Source organism: Homo sapiens, chromosome X (assembly GCF_000001405.40).
Source record: "Homo sapiens chromosome X, GRCh38.p14 Primary Assembly".
Classification (NCBI taxonomy): Eukaryota; Metazoa; Chordata; class Mammalia; order Primates; family Hominidae; genus Homo; species Homo sapiens.
This window is the reverse complement of record NC_000023.11, coordinates 49,579,949-49,597,088: the sequence shown is the minus strand read 5'-3', so window position 1 is coordinate 49,597,088 and position 17,140 is coordinate 49,579,949. Positions and strand designations below refer to the sequence as shown.

At 44.6% G+C, this 17,140-nt stretch overlaps 2 protein-coding genes across 2 annotated transcripts, besides 1 other annotated feature; both read right to left on the bottom strand.

The window, feature by feature from the left end:
- Positions 1 to 264: 264 nt before the first annotated feature.
- Positions 265 to 7,593, bottom strand: GAGE2A (G antigen 2A). The gene is made up of 5 exons (NM_001127212.4): positions 7,486 to 7,593; positions 6,358 to 6,446; positions 5,772 to 5,892; positions 2,846 to 2,971; positions 265 to 378 (listed from the first exon to the last, which is right to left on the bottom strand). The coding sequence occupies exons 2-5, from the start codon at positions 6,436 to 6,438 to the stop codon at positions 356 to 358; spliced, it is 351 nt and encodes a 116-aa protein (NP_001120684.1). The 5' UTR covers positions 6,439 to 6,446; positions 7,486 to 7,593; the 3' UTR covers positions 265 to 355.
- Positions 6,700 to 7,421: an enhancer, noted in NCBI's record as "H3K27ac-H3K4me1 hESC enhancer chrX:49354271-49354992 (GRCh37/hg19 assembly coordinates)". NCBI's record gives its function as "activates a minimal SCP1, AML or CMV promoter by ChIP-STARR-seq in primed H9 embryonic stem cells {active_cell/tissue: H9 hESC(primed)}" and the evidence as "EXISTENCE:reporter gene assay evidence [ECO:0000049][PMID:30033119]".
- Positions 7,594 to 9,787: 2,194 nt separating the features above from the next.
- GAGE12H (G antigen 12H) lies at positions 9,788 to 17,140 on the bottom strand. The gene is made up of 5 exons (NM_001098410.3): positions 17,033 to 17,140; positions 15,902 to 15,993; positions 15,316 to 15,436; positions 12,368 to 12,493; positions 9,788 to 9,901 (listed from the first exon to the last, which is right to left on the bottom strand). The coding sequence occupies exons 2-5, from the start codon at positions 15,983 to 15,985 to the stop codon at positions 9,879 to 9,881; spliced, it is 354 nt and encodes a 117-aa protein (NP_001091880.1). The 5' UTR covers positions 15,986 to 15,993; positions 17,033 to 17,140; the 3' UTR covers positions 9,788 to 9,878.

Below are 17,140 nucleotides of genomic sequence, written 5' to 3'. Positions count from 1 at the left end.
CCAGCTACTCGGGAGGCTGAGGCAGACAATTGCTTGAATCCGGGAGGCGGGGTTGCAGTGAGCAGAGATCGCGCCACTGCACTCCAGCCTGGGCGACAGAGCAAGACTCCGTCTCAAAAGAGGACAAAGAAAGAAAGAAAAAAAAAAGAACGATGTCTCTACATACCAGCTCAGAGAGTTACAATACACGATTTCAAAGAATGATACATATTTCACAGCATCAAAAAGCTAGAAATAAACTTCACAAAAGATGCGCAAGACTTCTTTGCAGAAGGCTGTAAAGCTTTATTGGGAGAATTTTAATGAACAAATTTCCAACATAGGAGCAGCCTGCATCATTTCAACGTGTCTTCTTTTAACACTGTGATTGCTTTTCACCTGTAACAGAAACACAACGATTGGGAACATGACTTAGCAACAGATTATTCAGATGACCCTAAAGGCATACAAAGCACACTACAGTTTGGGTTTTATTAAATGGACTAAAAACAGAACCCTATGGGTGATCCCGTGTCTTACACGCAATTGAACCTCTGCATAAACTTTGAGCGTAGACCTGCAGAATTTAAAAGGAATTTCCTCCCTGAACATCAAGTGCTTCCTTTCAAGTCACAAGCACTTACAATTAACAGTCAGCAATTTGGAAAACACATGTGTAAAGCATACTTCAGTTGATTACTCAGGAAGTACTAGAGTCATGGTCTTTCAACTTCAAATCTTATCAATTCATGTCTCTAAAGGTGAAACTTACATGTAACATTTGATATGATTAGAGATGATTATATCGTATGTGTGTCTACAGTCTTATTAGAAATAGTGGCTCATGAAGACTGACAGTGGGGCAGGGAGCATGCATAGCACAGGCATCTTACTCACACCCATGCTGAGCATCACTGACCTACATGCCACAGATGATACGAACTAAACGGTCTCTCGCCATTTGATATTTATTTCAGTCACTCAAGGTTTCCGTGGGGAAAGATTTAAGAAGCAATTGTACCATTTGACCCAGCCATCCCATTACTGGGTATATACCCAAAGGACTATAAATCATGCTGCTATAAAGACACATGCACACGTATGTTTATTGCGGCATTATTCACGATAGCAAAGACTTGGAACCAACCCAAATGTCCAACAACGATAGACTGGATTAAGAAAATGTGGCACATATACACCATGGAATACTATGCAGCCCTAAAAAATGATGAGTTCATGTCCTTTGTAGGGACATGGATGAAACTGGAAATCATCATTCTCAGTAAACTATTGCAAGAACAAAAAACCAAACACCGCATATTCTCACTCATAGGTGGGAACTGAACAATGAGATCACATGGACAGAGGAAGGGGAATATCACACCCTGGGGACTGTTGTCGGGTGGGGGGAGGGGGGAGGGATAGCACTGGGAGATGTACCTAATGCTAGATGATAAGATAGTGGGTGCAGCGCACCAGCATGGCACATGTATACATATGTAACTAACCTGCACAACGTGCACATGTACCCTAAAACTTAAAGTATAATGATAAATAAATAAATAAATAAATAAATAAATAAATAAAAGAAAAAAAAAGAAGCAATTGTTCATTAAAAGCCAGAGAAACCCTGCCTGGGCAACACAGTGAGACCTCATCTCTACAAAAATGAAAACAAAAAAATGTAGTCAGGCACGGTGGCTTGTGCATGTAGTTCCAGCCACTCGGGAGGCTGAGGTGGGAGGACGGCTTTAGCCTGGGAGCCAGAAGTTGCAGTGAGCTGAAATTGCATCACTGCACTCCAGCCTGGGTGACACACTGAGACTCTGTCGCAAACAAACAAACAAACCAAGAAGAGGGAGAATTCACAATTTCACAAGATCTTACACTACGTATTCAGCTCTCCACACGGAAAAACTAGGATGAAGCAGAGGGCCCGCTCACTGTCTTACTGACAATGAAATCTCAATTCAGAGATTTTCAGATGACTCGGGCCAGGGTTTCATGATTTGTGATTAACAAACCATGCGAAGCAGATGATCTCTGTGTCCCACGCATTCTATGCAACAGGATCAGAGTATGAAAGAAACGGAATGCAAAATGGTTTTAAAATCTCTGACTTAAACTCACTATTTTCATAAGAACCAAAGATAGGTTTAGAAGGGAAAGGACTCACTCAGAATCTCGCCAAGGCTGTAAGAGCTGGTATTAGAACCCGCATGAGTGCTTCAGCATTTTTCACACCAAGTGATGGGTGTTACAAACGTGTTATGTATTGATTAAAAGCAGACCTTTACAAAAGCATCTGAAAATTGTGAGCTACTGGTTTAAGGATTTACACTCAAAACTTTTAATTCAACATAGCTTTGACTCAGTTTGTTTCCCTACCTGACAGTCTATCAGTCGGGTGCTGGGGCCTGAACTACGTTTCAAATAACCTTTATATAAGAACTCTGTTACTAAAGAGGCAGTATTGTTACCTCTCCGTTATTAAAAATATAATGCTGGGTCGGGCACGGTGGCTCTCGCCTGTAATCCCGGCAATTTCAATGGTCGAGGCAGGTGGATCACCTGAGGTCAGGAGTTCGGGAACAACCTGTGCAACATAACGAAACCCTGTCTCTACTAAAAATACAACAATTAGCTGGGCGCGGCGGAGCATGCCTGTAAGCCCGGCTCCGCCAGAGGCTCAGGCAGGAGAATCACTTGAACCCTGGAGACAGAATTTCCAGTGAGCCGAAATGGCACCACTGCACTCCAGCCTGGTCTTCAGAGCGAGACTCCGTCTCAAAAACATAGTAACAATTACAATATGATACTGTGGAAACAGACACCCTACAATGTGCATGCCTAATGGATTGCCTACCTTCTTCAGGCGTTTTCACCTCCTCTGGATTTGGCGGGTCCATCTCCTGCCCATCAGGACCATCTTCACACTCACACCCAGTCTGTGGGTGACCCTGTTCCTGGCTATGAGCTTCAGGCTTCGGCCCTTAAAAATAAAAAATACGTATCAATTTAAGCAGTAAAACATAAAGTATGAATAAGAAAATAATATTCATGCTCTCGGTATTATTATATAAAAGCTTTAGCTAACGTAATAATAAATGTGTTGATAAGAATCCCAGGAACATTATTTCAGGAGTCCATTAGCAGAAAACAGGAAAACAAGGTGTTCCAAATAATACCCTCTTCCTTTCCGAAGACTGCCCTCAGACAACTTTGCTGCCTCCTTTGCACTTCTCTCTTATTCTACTTCTGATTGTCCTTCTCGTATTAAATGACTCAAGGCTCAAATCCCGTCTCTCACAGCACTTACACTCCTAGCGCTTAGACTCTTACATGGCATGAGTAGCCACCAATAAACGCTGAGTGAGAAAACTCTTTTAAAAATACATGAAAAAGCCCAAACTGCAGAATATTCTGCAAACCAACTGGTCTATCCTCTCCAAAAATGTCCGTATCGTGAATGACAAGAAAAATTAAGGAAACATTACAGGTTAAAGGAAACTAAAAACACCTGAAAAGCACATGCAAGGTGTGATTCTGAACTGGACTCTGGATCAGAAAAAGAAATCCTATCAATAAAATTATCTGGGCCGGGCGTGGGGTCTCACGCCTGCAATCCAAACATTTTGGGATGCCAAGGTGGGCAGAGCAGGTGAGGCCAGAAGTTCAAGACCGCAGTGGCCGGCGCCTGTAGTCCCAGCTACACGGGAGGCTGAGGCATGAGAATCCCTAGAACCTGGGAGGTGTAGGTTGCAGTGAGCCGAGATCGCACTACTGCACTCCCACCTGGCCCACAGAGAGAGACTCCGTCTCAACAAAGAAAAAAAAAAGGAAAAAAGAAATTTTCTGGGGAACTGGCAAAATTTGAGTATGCACTCTGTATTAAATGACTCCATTTTCTCATTGTTAAATTTCCTGATTTTTATCTTTGTGCAGTGATGATCCAAGAAATGACTTTCTCTTTGTTCTGACGATATACACACCCTCAAGTACATAGGGTAAAGGACCATAATCCCTGAAACTTTATCGAGACAATTCACCATTAATAACAGTAAACATATATCCGTATGTGTGTGTGTGTGTGTGTGTGTGAGTGTGTGGGCAGCACGGTAAGAGACGGAGGGAAGAGATGTGAAACCTATGAAGCGAAAGCTACTAACAATTGGTGAATCCAGATGAACAGTATATGAGTTCATTGTACTATTCTTGCAAATTTTCTATGAATGTTATGTCTTGAAGATACATACAGTAAAAATTTAAAAGAATATATGATAACTGCACTGAACTTTAGGAAGAAAGGAATTTCCAATTGTGGTAAAAAATACAGATATCCTAAAATTTACCATCTTAACTATTTTTAAGTGGTACAGTTCACTAAGGAGTTACGTTTGCAACATTACCAGCCACTAGGCACAAAAACTTTGCATCTGTGTTTTCCTATACCATGAAAACTTTATTTATTTAATGAATTTATTTATGTGTTTATTTATTTATTCATTTATTTATTTATTAGCAATGAGGTCTCACTGTGTTTCCCAGGCTGGGCTTGAACTCCAGGACTCAAGCAATCCTCTCACCTCGGCCTCCCAAGTAGCTGGGACTATGAGTGCATGGCATTCAGCCCAGCTTTAGACCTTTCTCCTAAATGACAATCTAAGGATAAACCACAGGACATGTATAATGCTTATATTCAGCCCTAGAGTACCAACAGCAGTGTGCGTCAGCTGAGAAATCTGAAGTCTACCACGTGGGTAGGATTTCAGTTACAATTACAATGTCAGTTTCTGAAGGATTGATTAGCTGGATGGATTTGAGGACTATGGAAATCTTACAGTCACGACACCCATTACCTATTGGGGTAAAGAGAAACTTCACTTTGTTCAAATAAAGTTATATTTAGGTCCGAAGGTCCTAAAGGTAATATTCCATAAATGAACCCCGTGAAGAACAAAGCACCAAATATAACATTGTTTGTGAATCACAGAAAATATACTGTCCCCCGCACTGAGAATAAGGGAGTGGGCGGACAGCAATTAATGGGCATTGTTGTCAGTCAGATTCTAGGAACTTTTAACAGTGCATCCCTGGAATAATCCATGACCTCCGTTACATAAATGCTTCCTTTCAAAACATTTTATCTGGGAGAAATTATTTCCATCTCACGTTAATCTCAGGATAATTCCGTTTTTGCTTTTCTAACCATAAAAGGATTTAATCACCTCCTAAAGGCCGCTGAGAAAAATCACTAAACCAGCTACCTGTATGGCAGTATCCTCATTTATCCAGCTTTTATCAAACGTACCATATAAAAATATCAATCAAAGGAAACGGGGGCCAACATTCAGCGACTCGGTTTTTGGAGCTGCTCCTGCTCCTAAGCTACCTTACAGTAAAGCCTTTTGAGTTTTAAGCATTTTCAGCAAAATCACTTCCTTCTTTACAGCAACATACATGATAGGAAGACACAAACCTTGGAACACAGTACAAATGTTGTATTCACCAGTCAAGGGTTCTTGGATAACACACAACCCTGGCACCTCCATTCTCTCATTCATAAAGTCGAGAACTTTTATCATAGTGAGGGATTTGCCTAAGCTAAGCTGCAAACTACATAGCCTCCTCGCTTTTCCACTCAATTTCAGGCATTCTTTCCATTGTTTTCTTTCCTCCTCTTCCTCCTATGTGACAATGCCTAACACACACACACACACACGTGCACACACACACACACGAACACACACACACGCACACACCAGCAGACGTTCTTCTTCCCTTTCCCTCACCTTGACCTGCAGATGCTCCCTCATCCTGTCCCTCCTGAGCAGCTGCAGGATCCTGACGTTGAGTTGCTGGTTCCCCTTCTTCAGGTGTTGCTGGTTCCACTTCATCACTGAACTGCTCGGGCTGGGGAATACGTGTGGGTGTGCAAATAAAAAATAAGTTTCGTTATTGATACAAAATTTTACATATATACACAGAATACATAGCTATTTCTGGTCCTAACTAAGCCTAAAGACATTTCTCCAACTCTATGCTCTATGCCCAATAAGGTTACTCCACCCACAGGGAGGATACTGTGAGAAAAGTGACGCACGAGGACTTTGGAGGCTATTATACTCTGTGTTGGAATACATGTGTACAATCTGTCATTAACAAACAAAGCCGGAGAAAGAAGTCATGGGCAAAAGCTGAAGAACACGAGAGGAAAAAAAAAATCCTCCAGAATCAATGTTTCCTTCATGAGATGCCATCCTCATTTTTTATGAGCAGGAAAGACCTTTATCAGCATTTCCACACTAATGCAACAACGCTATCACAAAAATTAATTTCTACTAATAGAAAACATCGAATTAACGTTTAAGCACTCACCCGCATAGGCCCAATCATTTCAGGAGGCTCTACGTAGCGTCTTGGTCTAGGCCGATAGGTCGATCTTCCTCGCCAACTCATATTTCACACTGAAAACAGACAACCGTGATTGGGAACGTGCGCTCCACAGGGCTGCTATATTCGATCACTTCCATCGATAAATGTAAACTTGCCGTTTTACTTTTGAAAATACTCTCAAGATAAGTCCCAGAGTTAAGCATACGTGTGTACGCTGTCTGAGTGCCTACAAAGCCACTTCTGCTGGCCAGGCTGGCAGAGCAATCATCTTAAGGCGTGTGGCAAAAGGCAGAGGACATTTTTTTCTAAATTTCTTTTGGACACGCGGTCTCGCTGTGTTGCTCAGGCTGGAGTGCAGCGGCGTGATCACAGCTCACTGCAGCCTCGACCTCCCGCTCAAGGGATCCTCCCACCTCAGTGTCCCCAGTAACTGGGACTACGTAGGCGAGCGCCACTGCGCCCCGCAGACAGAGGTCATTTCTGATGAGGTTTAGTTTCACAAGTGCACTCCCCACGAAAACCCTAGTGAATCACAATTCTCGTGATTGCTGCTTTGGGCACACTCCCACTTCCTAGAGCCATTCACCCCCCCTCACAACAAGTTTGGTTGGACCGCACTGCCTCGCCCACTCCTTCCCACTGTTTTCGGACCTTCCATGGCGGAGGTGAGACCTTGCAGTGCTTCTCACTCGGGCGCTCCGCACTCCACACCGCTGGGGGGGGGCTCGCCAGGCCCCAGCCTTCCCAGGTGCCAGGCCCCTTCTTCACCGCCTGCCTCGCCCCCGCCGGGGGCCCCATTCAGGGAATCTGCCCTGTGTCGTCGGGGATCCCGGCACCTCGGGACTTCCATCCCCCCAACAGCACTCACCCCGTCTTCACCTGAGCCCCTGACCGCCTCCCCTCCACGGCCCACCTTCCTCCCCGTCCAGGCCCCTTCACGACCACGAAGCCGCCGGTGGCCTCGCAGCCTGTGAAGGGAAGGAGGACGACCTCGTGGCCCTTCTCCCTCGGAGGCCACAGACCAGGAAGCGGGACCCGCCTGACCCACCCGAGGCCCTCTCCACCCTCACTCACACTTCAGCCCCCGGGATGACTGGCCTGCACACCTACCAGATGAATCTCAGTAGAGGAAAAAGAGTCCGGACGGCAGGAACCACACAGCACTGCCTCACAGCTCCCTGGCGTTCTTCACGTGGGCGAAGGGGCCGGGCAGAAGACGCCCAGTGAACATGCGCACTGAGGCGGGAGCCCAGGGAGCATGCGCGGCTGTGGGCTGGGGAGGGCTGCCGTTCCCAGCGCCACGCCCCAAACCCTCCATGCCCATCCTCATTGAGGATAAGGGAATCCCACCTCCCTCTGCTGTTTCCTATGCCTCTGGGACTCAAGTAGTGCTCCCCTCAAAACTCACCCCATCTTCAACTGAACCCCACCCCCAACCCAGGGCCCTCTCTTGCCCCGGACCCACCATGGGGACAAGGACCACTGTGACTGGCTGGGAAGACAGGTAAACCACCTGCGAAAACAGAAATAGCAACCTATCCCAAAAGGAAATTGTTCAATGTGAACAAGTCAGAGAAAGAGACTGAAAGAAAAATGAATAGAATCGCTAGGACCCGTAAGAAAATGCTAAAACGATATCTATCATTTGTAGCATCAGAATCGCAGAGGGTGAAGTGACAGTATTAGGGAAACAGGACAGCCAGAGTGACACCACGTGAAAATATACTCCGTCTTGAAAGCAGCAAGATACATAGTCCTACCAGTCACAACCCATGGTCCTAAGATGTTTGGAGTTGAGAAAACAGATGAAAGGTACCTCCAAGGACATGCTCCCACAGCAGCGGAAAGTGCACGGTTCCCAACACCCATTAACAATATATGCTTTCAACAGAATTATGCTTTCATGGACTTACACACTGGTAAGTCAAGGACAGTTTTCTTTAAATCAATAGAATGATAAAAGTCATCATGCTCTTAGCCCACCCGCACAAAGGCACAGATTAACTTTAGTCTTTATATAGATAAGACCCCTATATAAGAAAAACCAGACCAGGCCAAGGCTCACGCCTGTAATCCTAGTATTTTGGGAGGCTGAGCTGGCCAGATCACCTGAGCTCAGGACTTCGAGACCAGCCTAAGCAACATCAGAAAATCTCATCACTACAAAAAACAAACAAAAAACCATCGAAAAATTAGCTGGGCATGGTGGCATGTACCTATACTCACAGCTCCTCAGGAGGCTGAGGTGGGAGGCGCGCTTGAGCCCAGGAGGTCAAGGCTGCAGCGAGCTCTGATAACACCACCGCACTCCAGCCTCGGTGACAGAGTGAGACGCTGTCTCAAGTTTTAATAATCGAACCTAAAAACGTACAAATTTATCAATCGAATTCACTATATTAACACATGAATGGGAAAAAACGCTGTGGTAATCGAAATAGATGCACTGTTTGATGAAAATCAACATATATTCAAATGAATACTCTCAGCAAATTTGGAACAGAATGCAATGACTCACTCTGATAAAGTCCGTCTACAAAAAAAGGAGAGTGAATAGGATGGCGAAATGTTGAAATTTTTCGGTTTCTCATCAGGGAGAAGACAAGGATGTCCACTGTCACCATTGTAACGGGTGGGTCTGCACAATGCCATAAAATCAGAAAAGGAAATAAAACTCTTTACAATGCCAACGACGGGCCCGCCACGGTGGCCCACGCCAGTAATCCCAGCACTGTGGGAGGTGAGGTGGGTGCATCACTTGCACTCAAAAGTTCAACAACAGCCCGGGAAACATGGCAAAACCCCGTCTCTACAAAAAAATACAAAAGGGAAAAGAAAAAAATATGGCGGAAACAAAACTGCTCTTATTCCAGGATGATATGTTTCTGTATATTGAAGACTGAAAACGACCTAGAAGTAAACTTTAGAATTCACAAGCATATTTCACAAGGCCGCTGGATAGAAAACCAATATGTAAGAATTATGTCTCCACCGGGCACGGAGGCTCATGCCTGTAATCCCAGCACTTTGGGAGGCCAAGGCAGGTGAATCACGAGGTCAGGAGTTCAAGAGCACCCCGGCCAAGATGGCGAAAGCCCATCTCTAGTAAAAACACAAAACTTAGCCAGGCGTGCTGGTGGGTGCCTATAATCCCAGCTACTCGGGAGGCTGAGGCAGACAATTGCTTGAATCCGGGAGGCGGGGTTGCAGTGAGCAGAGATCGCGCCACTGCACTCCAGCCTGGGCGACAGAGCAAGACTCCGTCTCAAAAGAGGACAAAGAAAAAAAGAAAAAAAAAGAACGATGTCTCTACATACCAGCTCAGAGAGTTACAATACACGATTTCAAAGAATGATACATATTTCACAGCATCAAAAAGCTAGAAATAAACTTCACAAAAGATGCGCAAGACTTCTTTGCAGAAGGCTGTAAAGCTTTATTGGGAGAATTTTAATGAACAAATTTCCAACATAGGAGCAGCCTGCATCATTTCAACGTGTCTTCTTTTAACACTGTGATTGCTTTTCACCTGTAACAGAAACACAACGATTGGGAACATGACTTAGCAACAGATTATTCAGATGACCCTAAAGGCATACAAAGCACACTACAGTTTGGGTTTTATTAAATGGACTAAAAACAGAACCCTATGGGAGATCCCGTGTCTTACACGCAATTGAACCTCTGCATTAACTTTGAGCGTAGACCTGCAGAATTTAAAAGGAATTTCCTCCCTGAACATCAAGTGCTTCCTTTCAAGTCACAAGCACTTACAATTAACAGTCAGCAATTTGGAAAACACATGCGTAAAGCATACTTCAGTTGATTACTCAGGAAGTACTAGAGTCATGGTCTTTCAACTTCAAATCTTATCAATTCATGTCTCTAAAGGTGAAACTTACATGTAACATTTGATATGATTAGAGATGATTATATCGTATGTGTGTCTACAGTCTTATTAGAAATAGTGGCTCATGAAGACTGACAGTGGGGCAGGGAGCATGCATAGCACAGGCATCTTACTCACACCCATGCTGAGCATCACTGACCTACATGCCACAGATGATACGAACTAAACGGTCTCTCGCCATTTGATATTTATTTCAGTCACTCAAGGTTTCCGTGGGGAAAGTTTTAAGAAGCAATTGTACCATTTGACCCAGCCATCCCATTACTGGGTATATACCCAAAGGACTATAAATCATGCTGCTATAAAGACACATGCACACGTATGTTTATTGCGGCATTATTCACGATAGCAAAGACTTGGAACCAACCCAAATGTCCAACAACGATAGACTGGATTAAGAAAATGTGGCACATATACACCATGGAATACTATGCAGCCCTAAAAAATGATGAGTTCATGTCCTTTGTAGGGACATGGATGAAACTGGAAATCATCATTCTCAGTAAACTATTGCAAGAACAAAAAACCAAACACCGCATATTCTCACTCATAGGTGGGAACTGAACAATGAGATCACATGGACAGAGGAAGGGGAATATCACACCCTGGGGACTGTTGTCGGGTGGGGGGAGGGGGGAGGGATAGCACTGGGAGATGTACCTAATGCTAGATGATGAGATAGTGGGTGCAGCGCACCAGCATGGCACATGTATACATATGTAACTAACCTGCACAACGTGCACATGTACCCTAAAACTTAAAGTATAATGATAAATAAATAATAAATAAATAAATAAATAAATAAAAGAAAAAAAAAGAAGCAATTGTTCATTAAAAGCCAGAGAAACCCTGCCTGGGCAACACAGTGAGACCTCATCTCTACAAAAATGAAAACAAAAAAATGTAGTCAGGCACGGTGGCTTGTGCATGTAGTTCCAGCCACTCGGGAGGCTGAGGTGGGAGGACGGCTTTAGCCTGGGAGCCAGAAGTTGCAGTGAGCTGAAATTGCATCACTGCACTCCAGCCTGGGTGACACACTGAGACTCTGTCGCAAACAAACAAACAAACCAAGAAGAGGGAGAATTCACAATTTCACAAGATCTTACACTACGTATTCAGCTCTCCACACGGAAAAACTAGGATGAAGCAGAGGGCCGGCTCACTGTCTTACTGACAATGAAATCTCAATTCAGAGATTTTCAGATGACTCGGGCCAGGGTTTCATGATTTGTGATTAACAAACCATGCGAAGCAGATGATCTCTGTGTCCCACGCATTCTATGCAACAGGATCAGAGTATGAAAGAAACGGAATGCAAAATGGTTTTAAAATCTCTGACTTAAACTCACTATTTTCATAAGAACCAAAGATAGGTTTAGAAGGGAAAGGACTCACTCAGAATCTCGCCAAGGCTGTAAGAGCTGGTATTAGAACCCGCATGAGTGCTTCAGCATTTTTCACACCAAGTGATGGGTGTTACAAACGTGTTATGTATTGATTAAAAGCAGACCTTTACAAAAGCATCTGAAAATTGTGAGCTACTGGTTTAAGGATTTACACTCAAAACTTTTAATTCAACATAGCTTTGACTCAGTTTGTTTCCCTACCTGACAGTCTATCAGTCGGGTGCTGGGGCCTGAACTACGTTTCAAATAACCTTTATATAAGAACTCTGTTACTAAAGAGGCAGTATTGTTACCTCTCCGTTATTAAAAATATAATGCTGGGTCGGGCACGGTGGCTCTCGCCTGTAATCCCGGCAATTTCAATGGTCGAGGCAGGTGGATCACCTGAGGTCAGGAGTTCGGGAACAACCTGTGCAACATAACGAAACCCTGTCTCTACTAAAAATACAACAATTAGCTGGGCGCGGCGGAGCATGCCTGTAAGCCCGGCTCCGCCAGAGGCTCAGGCAGGAGAATCACTTGAACCCTGGAGACAGAATTTCCAGTGAGCCGAAATGGCACCACTGCACTCCAGCCTGGTCTTCAGAGCGAGACTCCGTCTCAAAAACATAGTAACAATTACAATATGATACTGTGGAAACAGACACCCTACAATGTGCATGCCTAATGGATTGCCTACCTTCTTCAGGCGTTTTCACCTCCTCTGGATTTGGCGGGTCCATCTCCTGCCCATCAGGACCATCTTCACACTCACACCCAGTCTGTGGGTGACCCTGTTCCTGGCTATGAGCTTCAGGCTTCGGCCCTTAAAAATAAAAAATACGTATCAATTTAAGCAGTAAAACATAAAGTATGAATAAGAAAATAATATTCATGCTCTCGGTATTATTATATAAAAGCTTTAGCTAACGTAATAATAAATGTGTTGATAAGAATCCCAGGAACATTATTTCAGGAGTCCATTAGCAGAAAACAGGAAAACAAGGTGTTCCAAATAATACCCTCTTCCTTTCCGAAGACTGCCCTCAGACAACTTTGCTGCCTCCTTTGCACTTCTCTCTTATTCTACTTCTGATTGTCCTTCTCGTATTAAATGACTCAAGGCTCAAATCCCGTCTCTCACAGCACTTACACTCCTAGCGCTTAGACTCTTACATGGCATGAGTAGCCACCAATAAACGCTGAGTGAGAAAACTCTTTTAAAAATACATGAAAAAGCCCAAACTGCAGAATATTCTGCAAACCAACTGGTCTATCCTCTCCAAAAATGTCCGTATCGTGAATGACAAGAAAAATTAAGGAAACATTACAGGTTAAAGGAAACTAAAAACACCTGAAAAGCACATGCAAGGTGTGATTCTGAACTGGACTCTGGATCAGAAAAAGAAATCCTATCAATAAAATTATCTGGGCCGGGCGTGGGGTCTCACGCCTGCAATCCAAACATTTTGGGATGCCAAGGTGGGCAGAGCAGGTGAGGCCAGAAGTTCAAGACCGCAGTGGCCGGCGCCTGTAGTCCCAGCTACACGGGAGGCTGAGGCATGAGAATCCCTAGAACCTGGGAGGTGTAGGTTGCAGTGAGCCGAGATCGCACTACTGCACTCCCACCTGGCCCACAGAGAGAGACTCCGTCTCAACAAAGAAAAAAAAAAGGAAAAAAGAAATTTTCTGGGGAACTGGCAAAATTTGAGTATGCACTCTGTATTAAATGACTCCATTTTCTCATTGTTAAATTTCCTGATTTTTATCTTTGTGCAGTGATGATCCAAGAAATGACTTTCTCTTTGTTCTGACGATATACACACCCTCAAGTACATAGGGTAAAGGACCATAATCCCTGAAACTTTATCGAGACAATTCACCATTAATAACAGTAAACATATATCCGTATGTGTGTGTGTGTGTGTGTGTGTGAGTGTGTGGGCAGCACGGTAAGAGACGGAGGGAAGAGATGTGAAACCTATGAAGCGAAAGCTACTAACAATTGGTGAATCCAGATGAACAGTATATGAGTTCATTGTACTATTCTTGCAAATTTTCTATGAATGTTATGTCTTGAAGATACATACAGTAAAAATTTAAAAGAATATATGATAACTGCACTGAACTTTAGGAAGAAAGGAATTTCCAATTGTGGTAAAAAATACAGATATCCTAAAATTTACCATCTTAACTATTTTTAAGTGGTACAGTTCACTAAGGAGTTACGTTTGCAACATTACCAGCCACTAGGCACAAAAACTTTGCATCTGTGTTTTCCTATACCATGAAAACTTTATTTATTTAATGAATTTATTTATGTGTTTATTTATTTATTCATTTATTTATTTATTAGCAATGAGGTCTCACTGTGTTTCCCAGGCTGGGCTTGAACTCCAGGACTCAAGCAATCCTCTCACCTCGGCCTCCCAAGTAGCTGGGACTATGAGTGCATGGCATTCAGCCCAGCTTTAGACCTTTCTCCTAAATGACAATCTAAGGATAAACCACAGGACATGTATAATGCTTATATTCAGCCCTAGAGTACCAACAGCAGTGTGCGTCAGCTGAGAAATCTGAAGTCTACCACGTGGGTAGGATTTCAGTTACAATTACAATGTCAGTTTCTGAAGGATTGATTAGCTGGATGGATTTGAGGACTATGGAAATCTTACAGTCACGACACCCATTACCTATTGGGGTAAAGAGAAACTTCACTTTGTTCAAATAAAGTTATATTTAGGTCCGAAGGTCCTAAAGGTAATATTCCATAAATGAACCCCGTGAAGAACAAAGCACCAAATATAACATTGTTTGTGAATCACAGAAAATATACTGTCCCCCGCACTGAGAATAAGGGAGTGGGCGGACAGCAATTAATGGGCATTGTTGTCAGTCAGATTCTAGGAACTTTTAACAGTGCATCCCTGGAATAATCCATGACCTCCGTTACATAAATGCTTCCTTTCAAAACATTTTATCTCGGAGAAATTATTTCCATCTCACGTTAATCTCAGGATAATTCCGTTTTTGCTTTTCTAACCATAAAAGGATTTAATCACCTCCTAAAGGCCGCTGAGAAAAATCACTAAACCAGCTACCTGTATGGCAGTATCCTCATTTATCCAGCTTTTATCAAACGTACCATATAAAAATATCAATCAAAGGAAACGGGGGCCAACATTCAGCGACTCGGTTTTTGGAGCTGCTCCTGCTCCTCTGAACTGGGTCTATTCTTGGGTCAGTACTAAGCTACCTTACAGTAAAGCCTTTTGAGTTTTAAGCATTTTCAGCAAAATCACTTCCTTCTTTCCAGCAACATACATGATAGGAAGACACAAACCTTAGAACACAGTACAAATGTTGTATTCACCAGTCAAGGGTTCTTGGATAACACACAACCCTGGCACCTCCATTCTCTCATTCATAAAGTCGAGAACTTTTATCATAGTGAGGGATTTGCCTAAGCTAAGCTGCAAACTACATAGCCTCCTCGCTTTTCCAGTCAATTTCAGGCATTCTTTCCATTGTTTTCTTTCCTCCTCTTCCTCCTATGTGACAATGCCTAACACACACACACGTGCACACACACACACGAACACACACACACGCACACACCAGCAGACGTTCTTCTTCCCTTTCCCTCACCTTGACCTGCAGATGCTCCCTCATCCTCTCCCTTCTGAGCAGCTGCAGGATCCTGACATTGAGTTGCTGGTTCCCCTTCTTCAGGTGTTGCTGGTTCCACTTCATCACTGAACTGCTCGGGCTGGGGAATACGTGTGGGTGTGCAAATAAAAAATAAGTTTCGTTATTGATACAAAATTTTACATATATACACAGAATACATAGCTATTTCTGGTCCTAACTAAGCCTAAAGACATTTCTCCAACTCTATGCTCTATGCCCAATAAGGTTACTCCACCCACAGGGAGGTTACTGTGAGAAAAGTGACGCACGAGGACTTTGGGGGCTATTATACTCTGTGTTGGAATACATGTGTACAATCTGTCATTAACAAACAAAGCCGGAGAAAGAAGTCATGGGCAAAAGCTGAAGAACACGAGAGGAAAAAAAAAATCCTCCAGAATCAATGTTTCCTTCATGAGATGCCATCCTCATTTTTTATGAGCAGGAAAGACCTTTATCAGCATTTCCACACTAATGCAACGACGCTATCACAAAAATTAATTTCTACTAATAGAAAACATCGAATTAACGTTTAAGCACTCACCCGCATAGGCCCAATCATTTCAGGAGGCTGTACATAGCGCCTTGGTCTAGGCCAATAATAGGTCGATCTTCCTCGCCAACTCATATTTCACACTGAAAACAGACAACCGTGATTGGGAACGTGCGCTCCAGAGGGCTGCTATATTCGATCACTTCCATGGATAAATGTTAACTTGCCGTTTTACTTTTGAAAATACTCTCAAAATAAGTCCCAGAGTTAAGCATACGTGTGTACGCTGTCTGAGTGCCTACAAAGCCACTTCTGCTGGCCAGGCTGGCAGAGCAATCATCTTAAGGCGTGTGGCAAAAGGCAGAGGACATTTTTTTCTAAATTTCTTTTGGACACGCGGTCTCGCTGTGTTGCTCAGGCTGGAGTGCAGCGGCGTGATCACAGCTCACTGCAGCCTCGACCTCCCGCTCAAGGGATCCTCCCACCTCAGTGTCCCCAGTAACTGGGAATACGTAGGCGAGCGCCACTGCGCCCCGCAGACAGAGGTCATTTCTGATGAGGTTTAGTTTCACAAGTGCACTCCCCACGAAAACCCTAGTGAATCACAATTCTCGTGATTGCTGCTTTGGGCACACTCCCACTTCCTAGAGCCATTCACCCCCACTCACAACAAGTTTGGTTGGACCGCACTGCCTCGCCCACTCCTTCCCACTGTTTTCGGACCTTCCATGGCGGAGGTGAGACCTTGCAGTGCTTCTCACTCGGGCGCTCCGCACTCCACACCGCTGAGGGGGCGCTCGCCAGGCCGCAGCCTTCCCAGGTGCCAGGCCCCTTCTTCACCGCCCGCCTCGCCCCCGCCGGGGGCCCCATTCAGGGAATCTGCCCTGTGTCGTCGGGGATCCCGGCACCTCGGGACTTCCATCCCCCCAACAGCACTCACCCCGTCTTCACCTGAGCCCCTGACCGCCTCCCCTCCACGGCCCACCTTCCTCCCCGTCCAGGCCCCTTCACGACCACGAAGCCGCCGGTGGCCTCGCAGCCTGTGAAGGGAAGGAGGACGACCTCGTGGCCCTTCTCCCTCGGAGGCCACAGACCAGGAAGCGGGACCCGCCTGACCCACCCGAGGCCCTCTCCACCCTCACTCACACTTCAGCCCCCGGGATGACTGGCCTGCACACCTACCAGATGAATCTCAGTAGAGGAAAAAGAGTCCGGACGGCAGGAACCACACAGCACTGCCTCACAGCTCCCTGGCGTTCTTCACGTGGGCGAAGGGGCCGGGCAGAAGAC